We start from the raw sequence: 18,700 nt of genomic DNA on the forward strand, positions 1-18,700 counted from the left end.
TGATATGGAAAAAGGAAGAAAGAACACTCAAAGTAACTGTAAATTAAACAAGGCAGACTGGAGCTCAATATAAGCTTCAAAGTCCATTTCTTGACTGTGATATTCATATATGTGTATTCAATTGTCTGCACAGACAACTACAACTACAATGATTTTACAGGTATAATTACAAGTATAATGCCAGCTGGCTACATCTCACTAACAATAAAGGGACAATTAGAGCCTTAATCTGGCTAATAATGCATACCAAAAGCCTGGCTTCTGGGGGGCAGAGGGGAAGAATTTTCTCTATCTCATTTCTAAGCCCAGAACTCTTCTTGGTTCCAAGGCAAATGTGCAGCTTTGCTTAGAATTGATGGCTCACTGGTTTGAAACTGTGCCAGGTTCTTCGTACTTTATATGTATTTTAATTTCCTGGTATTCTTTGGTACTGTGTCATTTCACTAAGGGGACTCTGCCATATTTTCAAATAGTTCAATAAAGGGCAGGTCATTGTGCTGACTGGTTGGAATTCCAGTGTTCACATCTGATCCTCTCCATGCAGCCAGGGTCAGGAGAAGCAGAACAGGTATTTCAAGGTTCTTATCTCCCAGGACAGTGAAAATGAACATATAATGAACAGAGCCTGTTGCAGAGGGGGAGCCAAACAACTGCTGACCAAAGCAAGAGAGCAAGCAAGCAAGAGAAGAAGAAAGAAAGAAAGAAGAAAGGAAGAAAGAAAGAAAGAAAGAAAGAAAGAAAGAAAGAAAGAAAGAAAGAAAGAAAGAAAAGAAAGAAAGAAAAGAAAAAGAAAGAAAGAAAGGAAGAAAGAAAGAAGAAAGAAAGGGAAAGAGAAAGAGAGAGAGAGAGAAGGAGGGAGGGAGGGAGGGAGGAAAAGAGAGCTGCCAATCTTATATGGACCTGTACCAAGATGGAGTGATGGCCTGGACTTCAGAGTAGGAGTCTAGCACAGTGGTTAAATGGCCTGGATTCTGGGGTCAGGACAACCCGAGTTGGAAGATTGGATCTGGCTCCTCTTGGAAGAACTTGAGGGAAGCTCCTTCCTCAACCTTGAAAGCCTCGATTGCTCCATTGGTATAAGAAGACGATGATCACAGTACCTTCCTCCAAGGTTTATTTCAAGGACTAAAGTGATTCCAAAGTCTGTAACCCACTGCCCAGCTGATAGTGAGCCTCAGTAAATATGAACAATTATTTTCCTATTTTTTAGTAGCCCTCATTTTTTTACAGCAGATTTAGGTTCAGACCAAAATTAAGGGGAAAGTACAGAGATTCCCTATACTCCCTGTCACAATACATGTACAGCCTTTCCCATGATTAACATCCCACGCCAGAGAGGACATCTGTTGTAACTGATGAGCCTACATTGTCACATCATTATCCCCCAGAGTCCACAGTTTACATTAAGATTCACTCTTAGCGTTGTACGTTCTGTGGGGTTTGACAAATGAATGATGACTTGTATTCACGACTGCAGTATCATACAGAATAGTTTAACTGCCCTAAAAATTCTCCATGTTCTTCCAACTTATTTCCCTCCTACTCCATCTCTGGAAACCTCTGGTCCTTTTACTGTCCCCATATTTTTTCCTTTTCCAGAATTTCATTAAGTTGGAATCATATAGCATGCAGCCTTTTCAGACTGGCTTCTCTCACTTAGTAAGAGGCATTTAAGATTCCTCCATACCTTTTCATGACTTGATAGCTCATTTCTTTTTAGTATTGAATAACATTCTGTTGTCTGGATGTACCACAGATTATTTATTCATTAACCTACTGAAGAACATCTTGGTTGATTCCAGGATTTGGCAATTATGGATAAAGCTGCTATAAACATCCTTATGTGGGTTCCTCTGTGGACATAAGTTTTCAGCTCATTTGGGTAAATACCAAGGATTGTAATTGCCGAATCACATGGTAAGGGTGTGTTTAATTTAATAAGAAATGGTCCCATTTTCTTCCAAAGTGGCTGGACCTTCTTGCATTCCCATCAGCCATGAATGAGAGCTGCCATTGTTCCACATTCTTGCCAGCATTTGTTATTGCCAGTGTTTTGGATTGTGGCCATTCTAATAGGTGTGTAGTGGTATCTCATTTTTGTTTTAATTAGCAATTCCTTAATGACATATAATGTTGAGTCATTTTTTATTGTTTTCTTATTATCCTATAAGGTTTCTGTAAGAATGAGATGAGCTGATAGAAAAGAGATTAGCACAGCGCTAATCTCTGAACAAAATAATTGTTCAGTCAACTGGAGGTTTAAAATAGAAAGCATCATTATTGACCTGGAATATTGGGGTATCTTTTTTCTCAGTTTGATGGATGTAGGGTCAATTTGGTGCCCATGATTACCTCCTACTCAATTACTACTCTTTTTTTTTTTTTTTTTTTTTTGAGATGGAGTCTCACTCTGTTGCCCAGGCTGGAGTGCAGTGGCGTGATCTCCTCTCACAGCGACCTCTGCCTCCTGGGTTCAAGCAATTCTCCTGCCTCAGTCTCCCAAGTACCTGGGATTACAGGCACCCACCACCATGCCCAGCTAATTTTTAATAGAGATGGGATTTCTCTATTAAATGTTGGCCAGGCTGGTCTTGAATTCCTGACCTCAAGCGATGCACCCACTGTGGCCTCCCAAAGTGCTGGGATTACAGTAGTGAGCCACCATGCCTGGCCTCAGTTACTACTCTTGCTAAATACCCTTTACATACCCCAATCATCGCACTTACTAATTACATAATGATTATCTGTTTTTAAATCTGTCTCCTCTACTTCAGAGGAGCTCCTTGAGGACAGAGCTATATCTTCCTCATGTGTCCACCCCTGGCAACTGGCACAGGGTAGGGTATCCGGCAGCTGCCAGGTATATTTTTTAAGCCAAACTGACAATCTTGAATGAACTCTTCTGTGCTGGACTTTGGCCCAGTGTATGGACTTGAGTTCAGAAAAAGTGAGCCACAGAAATTATCATACGGCCTGCAGAACTGGTCATGCTCCCCCTGCATATCATCTATACCTTCCATGGCCTCTGTCACTGCTTGTCATTTGATGACAAATTAGAGTGAGCGCCTGTCTTCCCCCATTAAAATGTGAGCACCCTGAGAGGTTGAGAATTATCCCTGTGTCCCTGTGCAGAGCAGGGCTGACGGACACTTGCAACATTAAGTGAATGAGCAAGGCCCTGACTGGTCTATGTGCTGGCCCTGAGCCTGAGTCTACAGCTCTGCTTAGCCAAAGACCCAGAAAATCTAGGCCTGGCTGGAGATGGCCAGCCCCTGAAGCAAGCTCAGACTCACTTTCTATGAGAAATTAAATATAATAGAACATTAACTCCAACACCACTCCTGAGTCTGGATAGGATTCATTCTAGCTCTGCAGTGGTGACAATGCCAGGAGGTTTATGGTTGATGGCAGACGTCAAGGATGCCTCTTTTGACCTCCTTTCTCATCTGTGGCCATGATGACTAGGTATGGAAATGAATACTAGAGGGTATTAAAATAAGAGTTTTTCCTATATGCCCTGAAAATCCAGGTCCAGAGCCTCCTTCCTCCTTCCAGAACCACTCACTACTCCTCCTTCAGTGAAATATAATAAAATGGGATGGCAATGTGGGGAGAAGTGATGTCAGCAGGATGGTGAACTAGAATGTACCAGGCCTTGTACCCTACAAAAACAATGATTCAATAACTATCCACAAATAAAAGTAGTTATGGGAGAGCTCTGAAGCCCAGTTAAGAAACTGTAGCCACCTAGTGGAGGCAAAAAAAGGAAAATGAAACAAACAAAAAAAATCCTGAGGATTAGTAAACAGAAAAGGGTAGGAAAAACAGTAGCATTGTAGAAAAACTATTTAGAAAGCCAGAAGACCCTAGAAGCTCTGGCCACTGAGGACCGCAGCAGCCCAGATGGCTGCAGACTGCTGCAGCCTTTGCCAGCAAGGACCCTTGCAATCTTTACCAACATGGGCTCCACTTGCCAGAGTTGCCTAGAGCTCACATTCCTGAGCCTCCCAAGCCAGAGATACCATGACCCCCAGCTGAGACTGCCTAGTATCCACCAGAGCTGGTGCTGCTACAACCTCCTCACAGCTAGCACCACTGTGCACACACCAGACCCAGCACTACTGCAACCCCATCAAACCCAGTGTTCCTGCACATCCATGGGACCCAGTGCTGCCATGCACTCATTAGACCTGGCTCTGCTCTACACCCACTGATCCAGAGCTTCCACTGGACCCAGCACACCTATACATCCCAAGACCTGACACCCTGACATTCTCCTGAAGCTAATACCTATGCATACTCTGCCCAGTTGATGCCCTTGTATTCAGGTGAAGGTCTTTCATCCCAAAGCCAGTCTATAAAGCCTGGAAGAAGTAACTGCTTCTTCAAATGAGCAAACACCAATGCAAGGCTATATGGAACACAAAAAGTCAGGGAAACGTGAAACCTTCAAAAGAACAAAATTAATTCCCAGGAACCAATTCCAATAAATGGTCTATTAATTGTCTGACAATACAAATCAAAAAAATTGTTTTAAGGAAGTTCAGAGAGCTGCAAAAGAAGTTGATAGAAAACTCATTGAAATCAGGAGAACGTATATGAACAAAACTAGCAGTTTGACAAAAAGATAAAAATCATAAAAAAGAACTAAACAAATTCTGGATCTGAAGAATACAATGATTGACGTGAAAAATGCAATATGGAGCTTCAACTACAGATTTGTTTGGGCACAAGAAAGAATTAGTGATCTCAAAGACAGATGATTTGGAAGTTATTTAGTCAGAGAAGCAAAAAGGGGAAAAAGGAATAAAAAAGAGTGAAGAAAACTTAGACTTATGGGACACCAACAAAGAAATGAATATGTGCATTTTGGAAGTTACAGAAAGTTAAAAGAAAAAGAAAAGAACGAAAAGTTTATTTAAAGAAATAATGACTGAGGTCACTTCCAAGATGGCCGAATAGGAACAGCTCCGGTCTGCAGCTCCCAGCAAGATCGAAGCAGAAGATGGGTGATTTCTCCATTTCCAAATGAGGAACCTGGTTCATCTCACTGGGACTGGTTAGACAATGGGTGCAGCCCATGGAGGGCGAGTCCAAGCAGGGTGGGGTGTCACCTCACCCAGGAAGTGCAAGGAGTCAGGGGACTTCCCTTTCCTTGCCAAGGAAAGCTGTGAGTGACTATACCTGGAGGAGTGGTACACTGCTGCCCAAATACTGAGCTTTTCCCACGGTCTTCACAACCGGCAGACCAGGAGATTCCCTCCTGTCCCTGGCTCGGCGGGTCCCATGCCCACGGAGCCTTGCTGACTGCTAGTGCAGCAATCCGAGATGGACCTGGGACACTGGAGCTTGGTGGGGGGAGGGGCGTCCACCATTGCTGAGGCTTCAGTAGGTGGTTCTATGCTCACAGGATAAACAAAGTGGCAGGGACGCTTGAACTGGGCAGAGTCTACTGCAGCTCAGCAAGGCCTACTGCCTCTCTAGATTCCACTCTAGATTCTGGGAGCAGGGCATAGCTAAATAAAAGGCAGCAGACAGCTTCTGCAGACTTAAACATCACCGCCTGACAGCTCTGAAGAGAGCAGTGGTTCTCCCAGCACGGTGTTCAAGCTCCAATAACAGACAGACTGCCTCTTCAAGTGGGTCCCTGACCCCCACATAGCCTGACTAGTGGACACCTCCCAGTAGGGGCCAACAGAAACCTCATACAGGCAAGTGCCCCTCTGGGATGAAGCTTCCAGAGGAAGGATCAGACAGCAATATTTGCTCTTTGTTCTGCAGCCTCCGCTGGTGATACCCAAGCAAACAGGGTCTGGAGTGGACCTCCAGCAAACTCCAACAGACCTGCAGCTGAGGGGCCTGTCTGTTAGAAGGAAAACTAACAAACAGAAAGGAGTAGCATCAACATCAACAAAAAGGACATCCACACCAAAACCCCATCCATAGGTCACCAACATCAAAGACCAAAGGTAGATAAAACCACAAAGATGGGGAGAAACCAGAGCAGAAAGGCTGAAAATTCCAAAAATCAGAACTCCTCTTCTTCTCCAAAGGAACATAACTCCTCACCAGCAAGGGAACAAAACTGGATGGAGAATGAGTTTGATGAGTTGACAGAAGTAGACTTCAGAAGGTCAGTAATAACAAACATCTCTGAGCTAAAAGACCATGTTCTAACCCATCACAAGGAAGCTAAAAACCTTGAAAAAGGTTAGAAGAATGGCTAACTGAATAAACAGTGTAGAGAAGAGCTTAAATGACCCAATGGAGCTGAAAACAACAGTACGAGAATTGTGTGAAGCATACACAAGATTCAATAGCCAATTCAATCAAGCAAAAGAAAGGATATCAGTGATTGAAGATCAAATTAATGAAATAAAGTGAGAAGACAAGATTAGAGAAAAAAGAGTGAAAAAAAATGAGCAAAGCTTCCAAGAAATATGGGACTATGTGAATAGACCAAATCTACATTTGACTGGTGTACCTGAAAGTGACAGGGAGAATGGAACCAAGTTAGAAAACACTCTTCAGGATATTATCCAGGAGAACTTCCCCAACCTGGCAAGGCAGGCCAACATTTGAATTCAGGAAATACACAGAATCCCACAAAGATACTCCTCAAGAAGAGCAACCCCAAGACACATAACTGTCAGATTTACAAAGGTTGAATTGAAGGAAAAAATGTTAAAGGCAGCCAGAGAGAAAGGCCAGGTCACCTACAAAGGGAAACCCATTAGACTAACAGTGGATCTCTCGGCAGAAACCCTACAAGCCAGAAGAGAGTGAGGGCCAATATTCAACATTATTAAAGAAGAGAATTTTCAACCCAGAATTTCATATCCAGCCAAACTAAGCTTCATAAGTGAAGGAGAAATAACATCCTTTACAAAGAAGCAAATGCTGAGATATTTTGTCACCACCAGGCCTGCCTTACAAGAGCTCCTGAAGGAAGCACTAAATGTGGAAAGGAACAATTGGTACCAGCCACTGCAAACACATGCCAAATTGTAAAGACCATCAATGCTATGAAGAAACTGCATTAATTAACAGGTGAAATAACCAGCTAACGTCATAATGACAGGACCAAATTAATACATAACAATATTAACCTTAAATGTAAATGGGCTGAATGCCCCAATTAAAAGACATAGACTGGCAAATTGAACAGAGTCAAGACCTATTGGTGTGCTGTATTCAGGAGACACATCTCGTGCAAAGACACACATAGGCTCAAAATAAAGGGATGGAGGAAGATCTACCAAGCAAATGGAAAGCAAAAAAAAAGCAGGGGTTGCAATGCTAGTCTCTGATAAAACAGACTTTAAACCAACAAGGATCAAAAGAGACAAAGAAGGCCATTATATAGTGGTAAAGGGATCAATTCAACAAGAAGTGCTAACTATCCTAAATATATATGCCCCAATAGAGGAGCACCCAGAGTCATAAAGCAAGCTCTTAGAGACCTACAAAGAGACTTAGATTCCCACACAATAATAATGGGACACTTTAACCCCCACTGTCAATATTAGACAGATCAATGAGACAGAAAATTAACAAGGATATCCAGGACTTGAACTCAGCTCTGGACCAAGCAGACCTAGTAAACATCTACAGAATTCTCCACCCCAAATCAACAGAATATACATTCTTCTCAGCACCTCATGGCACTTATTCTAAAATTGACCACATAATTGGAAGTAAAACACTCCTCAGCAAACGTAAAAGAACAGAAATCACAACAAACTGTTTCTCAGACCGCAGTGCAATCAAATTAGAACCCAGGATTAAGAAACTCACTCAAAACCGCAGAACTACATGGAAACTGAACAACCTGCTCCTGAATGACTACTGGGTAAATAACAAAATTAAGGCAGAAATAAAGATGTTCTTTGAAACCAATGAGAACAAAGACATAATGTACCAGAATCTCTGGGACACATTTAAAGCAGTGTATAGAGAGAAATTTATAGCACTAAATGCCCACAAGAGAAAGCAAGAAAGATCTAAAATTGACACCCTAACATCACAATTAAAAGTACTAGAGAAGCAAATTCAAAAGGTAACAAAAGACAATAAATAACTAAGATCAAAGCAGAACTGAAGGAGATAGAGACACAAAAAAATCCTTCAAAAAAATTAATGAATCCAGAAGCTGGTTTTTTGAAAAGATCAACAAAATAGACCACTAGCAAGACTAATAAAGAAGAAAGACAGAAGAATCCAATAGATGCAATAAAAAAATGATAAATGGAATAGTATCACTGATCCCACAGAAATGCAAACTACCATCAGAGAATACTGTAAACACCTCCATGCAAATAAATTAGAAAATCTAAAAGAAATGGAAAAATTCCTGGACACATACACTCTTCCAAGACTAAACCAGGAAGAAGTTGAATCTCTGAATAGACCAATAACAGGTTCTGAAATTGAGGCAATAATTAATAGCCTACGAACCGAAAAAGTCCAGGACCAGATGGATTCACAGCCGAATTCTCCCAGAGGTACAAAGAGGAGCTGGTACTATTCCTTCTGAAACTACTCCAATCAATAGAGAAAGAGAGAATCCTCTCTAACTCATTTTATGAGGCCAGCATCATTCTGATACCAAAGCCTGGCAAAGACACAACAAAAAAAGAGAATTTTAGGCCAATATCACTCATGAACATTGATGTGAAAATCCTCAGTAAAATACTGGCAAACCAATCCAGCAGCACATCAAAAAGCTTATCCACCATGACCAAGTTGGCTTCATCCCTGGGATGCAAGGCTGGTTCAACATATGCAAATCAATAAACATAATCCATCACATAAACAGAACCAATGGCAAAAACCACGTAATTATCTCAATAAATGCAGAAAAGGCTTTCAGCAAAATTCAACAGCCTTTCATGCTAAAAACTCTCAGTAAACTAGGTACTGATGGAACATATCTCAAAATAATAAGAGCTATTTAGGACAAACCCACAGCCAATATCATACTGCATGGGCAAAAACTGGAAGCATTCCCTTTGAAAACTGGCACAAGACAGGGATGCCCTGTCTCACCACTCCTATTCAACATAGTGTTGGAAGTTCTGGCCAGGGCAATCAGTCAAGAGAAAGAAATAAAGGGTATTCAATTAGGAAAAGAGGAAGTCAAATTGTCTCTGTTTGCAGATGACATGATTGTATATTTAGAAAGCCCCATTGTCTCAACCCAAAATCTCCTTAAGCTGATAAGCAATTTCAGCACAGTCTCAGGATACAAAATCAATGTGCAAACATCACAAGCATTCCTATACACCAAGAACAGACAGAGAGCCAAGTCATGAGTGAATTCCCATTCACAATTACTACAAAGAGAATAAAATACCTAGGAATCCAACTTACAAGGGATGTGAAGGACCTCTTCAAGGAGAACTTCAAACCACTGCTCAGTGAAATAAAAGAGGACACAAACAAATGAAAGAACATTCCATGCTCATGGATAGGAAGAATCAATATTGTGAAAATGGCCATACTGCCCAAGGTAATTTATAGATTCAATGCTATCCCCATCAAGCTACCACTGACTTTCTTCACAGAATTGGAAAAAACTACTTTAAATTTTATATGGAACCAAAAAAGAGCCCACATAGCCAAGACAATCTTAAGCAAAAAGCATAAAGCTGGAGGCATCACGCTGCCTGACTTCAAACTATACTACAAGGCTACAGTAACCAAAACAGCATGGTACTGGTACCAAAACAGATACATAGACCAATGGAACAGAACAGAGCCCTCAGAAATAACGCCGCATATCTACAACCATCTGATCTTTGACAAACCTGGCAAAAACAAGCAATGGGGAAAGGATTCCCTGTTTAATAAATGGTGCCAGGAAAACTGGCCAGCCATATGCAGAAAGCTGAAACTGGATCCTTTCCTTATACCTTATACAAAAATTAACTCAAGATGGATTAAAGACTTAAATGTAAGACATAAAAACATAAAAACCCTAGAAGAAAACCTAGGCAATACCATTCAGGACATAGGCATGAGCAAAGACTTCATGATTAAAACACCAAAAGCAATGGCAACAAAAGCCAAAATTGACAAATGGGATCTAATTAAACTAAAGAGCTTCTGCACAGCAAAAGAAATTATCATCAGCATGAACAGGCAACCTACAGAATGGGAGAAAATTTTTGCAATCTATCCATCTGACAAAGGGCTAATATTCAGAATCTACAAATAACTTAAACAAATTTACAAGAAAAAAACAAACAGCCCCATCAAAAAGTGGGCAAAGGATATGAACAGACACTTCTCAAAAGAAGACATTTATGCAGCCAACAAACATATGAAAAAATGCTCATCATCACTGGTCATCAGAGAAATGCAAATCAAAACCACAATGAGATACCATCTCACACCAGTTAGAATGACGATCATTAAAAAGTCAGGAAACAACAAATGCTGGAGAGAATGTGGAGAAACAGGAATGCTTTTACACTGTTGGTGGGGGTGTAAATTAGTTCAACCATTGTGGAAGACAATGTGGCAATTCCTCAAGGATCTAGAACTAGAAATATCACTGGACCCAGCAATCTCATTAGTGAGTATATACCCAAAGGATTATAAATCATGCCACTATAAAGACACATGCACACGTATGTTTATTGTGGCACTATTCACAATAGCAAAGACTTGGAACCAACCCAAATGTCCATCAATAATAGACTGGATAAAGAAAATGTGGCACATATACACCATGGAATACTATGCAGCCATAAAAAAGGATGAGTTCATGTCCTTTGCAAGGACATGGATGAAGCTGGAAACCATCGTTCTCAGCAAAATATCACAAGGACAGAAAACCAAACACTGCATGTTCTCACTCATAAGTGGGAATTCAACAAGAACACCTGGACACAGGGAGGGGAGCATTACACACCGAGGCCTGTTGGGGGATGGGGTGCTGGGGCAGGGATAGCCTTAGGAGAAACACCTAAAGTTAATGACAAGTTGATGGGTGCAGCAAACCAACATGGCACATCTATACCTATGTAACAAACCTGCACATTGTGCACATGTACCCTAGAACTTAAAGTATAATAATTTTAAAAAATTATTGAAAAAGATAAAACAACTGTGGATTACAAGAGTCTTAGAACAGTAATGGTTAAAAACACAATTCACAAGGAAATTTGCTTACTTCTGTGGCATACAACAATTTTACATAATGATCATAATTACTACTAAAAGTGTATGCTAAGACATATTAGAATCACAGGAATCTCATGCAATCCTGGAATACACACTAATAACACATTTGTATGAATATAATCCAAATAAGGTTAAACCCCATTCATATTTGACAATACTATTAGCCTGAAGTCCAAAAGAGACATATTCACCTTTGTTATAATAAAATGATTTTATTTGACAACGATTTTATTATATCAAACAAGCCAAATGTGTCTTTTTTGGACTTCAAGTTTACCTAATATCAAAAATTAATGAGGACCGAAGTTAGAGTTTGATTTTGGAAAGTTAGTCAAATATAAAAAGCTTAAAACACTTGATATCACAAAATAGAATCACAGGTTATTGTAAAATAAGTCATTCATTTAGTCAAAGTGATAACTCAAAGATTTCAAAAAAAGGCAAAAATTTTCATTCTTTGAGAGAGGAGACTTAATTTCCCAAACAATAAGCCCTAATAATAAAGATAGCATAAGGCCAATTAAATCTGTCTCTCAAAATTTTATAAACAAAATCTATTAAATTTTAATCACCTTGGTCATAAGATATAATTTTCATAAATCTTTTTATAATCATTATCATTATTTATTAAGGAGTGGGTTAATGCTCCAAGAAAACCTTGTTAATCTGACACAAGGGGCCAAATGTTGGTTTTGCATCAGTGTGCCTTTGAAATTAAAAGTTAATTTATTTAAAAAAGGAAAAAAGATGACTAAAAAATTTCTAAATCTGAGGAAAGAAATAGACATATACATTCAAGAATCCCAGAGGACCATAAATAGATTGAACATAAAAATTTTATACCAAGACACATTATAATTAAATTTTCAAAAATCAAAGACAGTCAGAATTTTTAAAGCCTCAAGAGAAAAGTGACTCATCACATATAAGGGAACCCCTAAATGATTGTCAGTAAATTTCTCACTAGAAACCTTGCAGTTCGAGACAGCGAGATGATATACTTAAAGTATTAAAAGAAAAAGAAAAAAACTAACAACCAAGAGTACTATACCCAGAAAAACTACTCTTTAAAAATGAAGGAGAGATAAAGTCTTTCCTAGGAAAACAAAAACTAAGGAAGTTGGTCACTGCTAGATCTGTCTTACAAAAAGACCTGCTTAAGGGGATTCTTCAAATTGGAAGGAAAACACACCAAACAACAATACCAAATCATTTAACTATTTTTTTTATTTTTAAGATGGAGTCTCACTCTGTTGCCCAGGCTGGAGTGCAGTGGCATGATCTTGGCTCACTGCAACTTTCGCCTCCTGGGTTCAAGTAATTCTCCTGCCTCAACTTCCCGAGTAGCTGGGATTACAGGCGCCCACCACCACACCCCGCTAATTTTTGCATTTTTAGTAGAGACAGGGTTTCACCATGTTAGCCAGGCTGATCTCGAACTCCTGACCTCAGGTGATCCTCCTGCCTCAGCCTGTCAAAGTGCTGGGATTACAGGCGTAAGCCACTGCACCCGGCCCCAAAGCATTCAAAAGCATAAATCTAACCAGTAAAAGGCCGGGCGCTCACGCCTGTAATCCCAGCACTTTGGGAGGCCAAGACGGGCAGATCACGAGGTCAGGAAATGGAGACCATCCTGGCTAACACGGTGAAACCCCGTCTCTACTAAAAAATACAAAAAATTAGCCAGGCGTGGTGGTGGGCACCTGTAGTCCCAGCTACTCGGGAGGCTGAGGCAGGAGAATGGCATGAACCTGGGAGGAGGAGCTTGCAGTGAGCCGAGATCATGCCACTGCACTCCAGCCTGGGAGACAGAGCAAGACTCCGTCTCAAAAAAAAAAAAAAAAAAGTAAATATACAGAGGAATGCATAATAATATAACACTTTAATGGTGGTGCATAAATTATAGTCGGCTAATATTAAAGTAAAAAATATTTAGAATAAGCATAACTGCAAAAATTTGTTAGTGGATTCATAACATTAAAAGAAATAAATGCTGGCTGGGCTCAGTGGCTCATGCCTGTAATCCCAGCACTTTGGGAGGCCGAGGCGGGCGGATCACCTGAGGTCAGGAGTTCAAGACCAGCCTGGCCAACATGGTGAAACCCCGTCTCTACTAAAAAAAAAAATACAAAACTTAGCCGGGCATGGTAGCGGGTGCCTGTAATCCCAGCTACTCGGGAGGCTGAGGCAGGAGAATCACTTGAACCTGGGAGCCGAAGGTTGCGGTGAGCCGGGGTCATGCCACTGCACTCCAGCCTGGGTGACACAGCAAAACTCCGTCTCAAAAAAAAAAAGAAAAAAAAAAGAAGTAAATGCTGGCTTTAAGAATACAAAATATGTGTGGGGAGGAGTAAAAGTGTAAAGTTTTTGTATATGATTGAAATTAAAATATTATCAACTTAAAGTAGATGGCTATAACTACAATTTAGTTAATACAAGCCTTGTGCTATCACAAAGAAACAACTATATAGATACACAAAAGGTAAAGAAAAAGCAAATCACTGCAAAAAATAACAAAGGAAGACAGTAAGGCAGAAAAGAGGAATAAAACAATTTTAAAAAGACAAAAAACAATTCGCAAATTGGCAACGGTAAGTCTTTATTAATAACATTAAATGTAAATGGATTAAACTCCCCATTGGAAAGATACAGAGTTGCTGAGTGGATGTAACACACACAGACACACTCACACACACACGTGAGATCTAGCAATATGCTGTGTATAAGAGACTCAGTTTAGACTTAAGGTCACCCACAGCCTGAAAGTGAAGGGATGAAAAAATATATCCATGCAAATGGTAGCCAAAAAGAAAGCAAGGGTGACCATATTTACGTGAGAAAAAATAGACTTCAAGTCAAAAACTGTCACAAGAGACAAAAGGGGACACTATATAATAATAAAAGGGTCAATCAACCAGGAAGAAATAACAATTATAAATAGATGTGCACCCAACACCAGAGCGCTAAAATATGTAATGGAAATATTGATATATCTGAAGGAAGAAATTGACAGCAATACAATAATAGTAGGAGACTTCCCTACATAACTTGCAATAACAGCTAGAACAACCAGATATAAAATCAATAAAGAAACTGACTTGAACAACTTTATAGATCAAATGGATATAACAGACATATACAAAGCTTTCCATCAAAAAGCAAAGAATGCATCTTCTTCTCAAGTGCACATAAATGTTCTCTAGGATAGATCATATCTTAGGTCACAAAATAACTCTTAACAAATATAAGAAGATCAAAATTATACCAAGTATCTTTTCTGATCACAATGAAATAAAACTAAAAATCAATAACAATAAGAAACTGGGAAAATTTGCAAATACATTGAAACTAAACAAACCACTTGAACAACAATTGGGTCAAAAAAATACAAAAGGAACATTAAAATATGCAGAGACAAACAAAACTGAAGGAATAGCATACCAAAACTTATGGGATACAGTAAAAACAGTAGTAAAGGGACATTCATAGTGACAAATGCCTACATTAAAAAAAGAAGAAAGATTGCAAATAACCTAATTTTACACCTCCAGGAACCAGAAAAAGAACAAACCAACCCCCATATTTGCAGAAGGAAGGAAATGATAACAATAAGAGTAGAAATAAATAAAAGAGAGAATAAAAAACAGTAGAAAAGAAATCGAGGAAACAAGACTTGGTTTCTTGAAAAGACAAACAAATTTGGCAAACTCCATCACTAAACTAACTTGGAAAAAAAGAAAGAAGTCTCAAGTAAATAAAATCAGAAATGAGAGACACTACAGCAGATGAGTCAGAAATAAAAAGGATCATAAATGATCATTATGAACAATTATTCATCAACAAATTGGATAACTTGGAAGAAATAGATAAATTCCTAGACATATGCAACCTACCAAGACTGAATTAAGAAGAACAAATTTTAACAATGAAATTGAATCAGTAATTAAAACCTTCCCAACAAAGAAAAGCCCAGGATTAGATGGCTTAATGGGTGAATTCTACCAAATATTTAAAGAAGAATTAATACCAATTCTTTTTTTATTAATTAATTAATTAATTTTTTATTTTATTTTATTTTATTATTATACTGTAAGTTTTAGGGTACATGTGCACAACGTGCAGGTTAGTTACATATGTATACATGTGCCATGCTGGTGCGCTGCACCCACTAACTCGTCATTTAGCATTAGGCATATCTCCTAATGCTATCCCTCTCCCCTCCCCCTACCCCACAACAGTACCCAGAGTGTGATGTTCCCCTTCCTGTGTCCATGTGTTCTCATTGTTCAGTTCCCACCTATGAGTGAGAATATGTGGTGTTTGGTGTTTTTTGTTCTTGCGATAGTTTACTGAGAATGATGATTTCCAATTTCATCCATGTCCCTACAAAGGACATGAACTCATCATTTTTTATGGCTGCATAGTATTCCATGGTGTATATGTGCCACATTTTCTTAATCCAGTCTATCATTGTTGGACATTTGGGTTGGTTCCAAGTCTTTGCTATTGTGAATAATGCCACAATAAACATACGTGTGCATGTGTCTTTATAGCAGCGTGATTTATAGTCCTTTGGGTATATACCCAGTAATGGGATGGCTGGGTCAAATGTTATTTCTAGTTCTAGACCCCTGAGGAATCGCCACACTGACTTCCACAATGGTTGAACTAGTTTACAGTCCCACCAACAGTGTCAAAGTGTTCCTATTTCTCCATATCCTCTCCAGCACCTGTTGTTTCCTGACTTTTTAATGATTGCCATTCTAACTGGTGTGAGATGGTATCTCATTGTGGTTTTGATTTGCATTTCTCTGATGGCCAGTGATAGTGAGCATTTTTTCATGTGTTTTTTGGCTGCATAAATGTCTTCTTTTGAGAAGTGTCTGTTCATGTCCTTTGCCCACTTTTTGATGGGGTTGTTTGTTTTTTTCTTGTCAATTTGTTTGAGTTCATTGTAGATTCTGGATATTAGCCCTTTGTCAGATGAGTAGGTTGCGAAAATTTTCTCCCATTTTGTAGGTTGCCTGTTCACTGTGACGGTAGTTTCTTTTGCTGTGCAGAAGCTCTTTAGTTTAATTAGATCCCATTTGTCAATTTTGGCTTTTGTTACCATTGCTTTTGGTGTTTTAGACATGAAGTCCTTGCCCATGCCTATGTCCTGAATGGTAAAGCCTAGGTTTTCTTCTAGGGTTTTTATGGTTTTAGGTCTAACATTTAAGTCTTTAATCCATCTTGAATTGATTTTTGTATAAGGTGTAAGGAAGGGATCCAGTTTCAGTGTTCTACATATGGCTAGCCAGTTTTCCCAGCACCATTTATTAAATAGGGAATCCTTTCCCCATTGCTTGTTTTTCTCAGGTTTGTCAAAGATCAGATAGTTGTAGATATGCGGCGTTATTTCTGAGGGCTCTGTTCTGTTCCATTGATCTATATCTCTGTTTTGGTACCAGTACCATGCTGTTTTGGTTACTGTAGCCTTGTAGTATAGTTTGAAGTCAGGTAGTGTGATGCCTCCAGCTTTGTTCTTTTGTCTTAGGAATGACTTGGTGATGTGGGCTCTTTTTTGGTTCCATATGAACTTTAAAGTAGTTTTTTCCAATTCTGTGAAGAAAGTCATTGGTAGCTTGATGGGGATGGCATTGAATCTGTAAATTACCTTGGGCAGTATGGCCATTTTCACAATATTGATTCTTCCTACCCATGAGCATGGAATGTTCTTCCATTTGTTTGTATCCTCTTTTATTTCCTTGAGCAGTGGTTTGTAGTTCTCCTTGAAGAGGTCCTTCACATCCCTTGTAAGTTGGATTCCTAGGTATTTTATTCTCTTTGAAGCAATTGTGAATGGGAGTTCACTCATGATTTGGCTCTCTGTTTGTCTGTTGTTGGTGTATAAGAATGCTTGTGATTTTTGTACATTGATTTTGTATCCTGAGACTTTGCTGAAGTTGCTTATTAGCGTAAGGAGATTTTGGGCTGAGACAATGGGGTTTTCTAGATATACAATCATGTCGTCTGCAAACAGGGACAATTTGACTTCCTCTTTTCCTAATTGAATACCCTTTATTTCCTTCTCCTGCCTAATTGCCCTGGCCAGAACTTCCAACACTATGTTGAATAGGAGTGGTGAGAGAGGGCATCCCCAAAAAAAAAAAAAAGAATTAATACCAATTCTTAAAACTTTTTCAAATAATTGAATAAGAGAAAGCACTTCTAAACTCATGTTATGAGGCCAGGATCACCCTGATGTCAAAGCTTAGCAAAAATACCACAAGAAAAAAAAACTACAGGGCAATATCTCTAATTAACATAAACACAAAAATCCCCAATAAAATACTAACAAACGAAATTCAAAAGCATGTTGAAAGGATCATACACCATGACCAAGTAGGATTTATCCCTGAGATGGAAGGATGGTTCAACATATCAAATCAATCAGTGTAATATACCACATTAACACAATGAAAGGTAAAACCACATGATTATCCCAAAAGATTCAGATTTTTTTTAGAAAATTTAACTTCCATTTATTATTTAAAACTCTCAAAAAAATAGGTATAGAAGAAACTTACCTCAACACAATAAAGACCATATATGAAAACCCCACAGCTAACATAATAATGGATGGGGAAAATTTGAAAGCTTTTTATCTCAGATATGAAGCAAAGCAAGGATGATCAACCTTACCACTTCCATTCAACATAATACTGGAAGTTCTAGCCAGAACAATCAGACAAGAAAAAGAAATAAAAGCTATCCAAATTGAAAAGAAATAAGTAAAATTGTCTCCTCTTAAAGGTGACATGATCATATATGTAGAGAATCCTAAAGACTCCATACAAAAAAATTATTAAAACTAATAAACAAATTCAGTAACTCTGCAGTATAAAAAGTCAAATTGCAAAAATCAGTGGCATTTCTATATGCTAATAACAAACTATCCAAAAATGAAATTAGGAAAACAATTCTATTTACAATAGCAACAAAAAGAATAAAATACTTAGGATAAAGTTAACTAAAGAGGTGAAAGACTTGTACACTGAAAGTTATAAACCATTGATGAAAGAAACTAAGGGAGACATAGAGATGGATAGACATCCCATGTTCATGGATTGGAATAATTAAAATCTTTAAAATGCCCATAGTGCCCGAAGAAACATACAGATTTAATTCAATCTCTATCAAAACCCCAATGGCATTTTTACATTAATAAAAAAAAGCTATCATAAAGTTCAAATGGAACCACAAAAGACTACCCATATCCAAAGCAATCTTGAGGGACAAAAAAAGAAAACAAAAAACAAAAAAACAAAAAAACACCAGAGGCATCACACTTCCTCATTTCAAAATATATTACAAAGCTATAGTAATCAAAACAATATGGTACTGGCATAAAAACAGACATGTAGACCAATGTAACAAAACAAAGAGACCAGAAATAAATCCATATATTTACAGCTAACTGATCTTTGACAAGGATGGCAAGAGGACACAATGGGGAAAGGATAGTATC

The 18,700-nt window shown here is 38.8% G+C and overlaps 1 long non-coding RNA gene across 1 annotated transcript in view; it reads left to right on the forward strand.

Annotated features, from left to right (window-relative positions):
• Positions 1–18,700, forward strand: part of LINC01411 (long intergenic non-protein coding RNA 1411) — a 190,786-nt gene that overhangs the window by 124,608 nt on the left and 47,478 nt on the right. The window lies entirely within an intron of this gene.

This window comes from Homo sapiens, chromosome 5, assembly GCF_000001405.40.
Source record: "Homo sapiens chromosome 5, GRCh38.p14 Primary Assembly".
NCBI classification, from domain to species: Eukaryota; Metazoa; Chordata; class Mammalia; order Primates; family Hominidae; genus Homo; species Homo sapiens.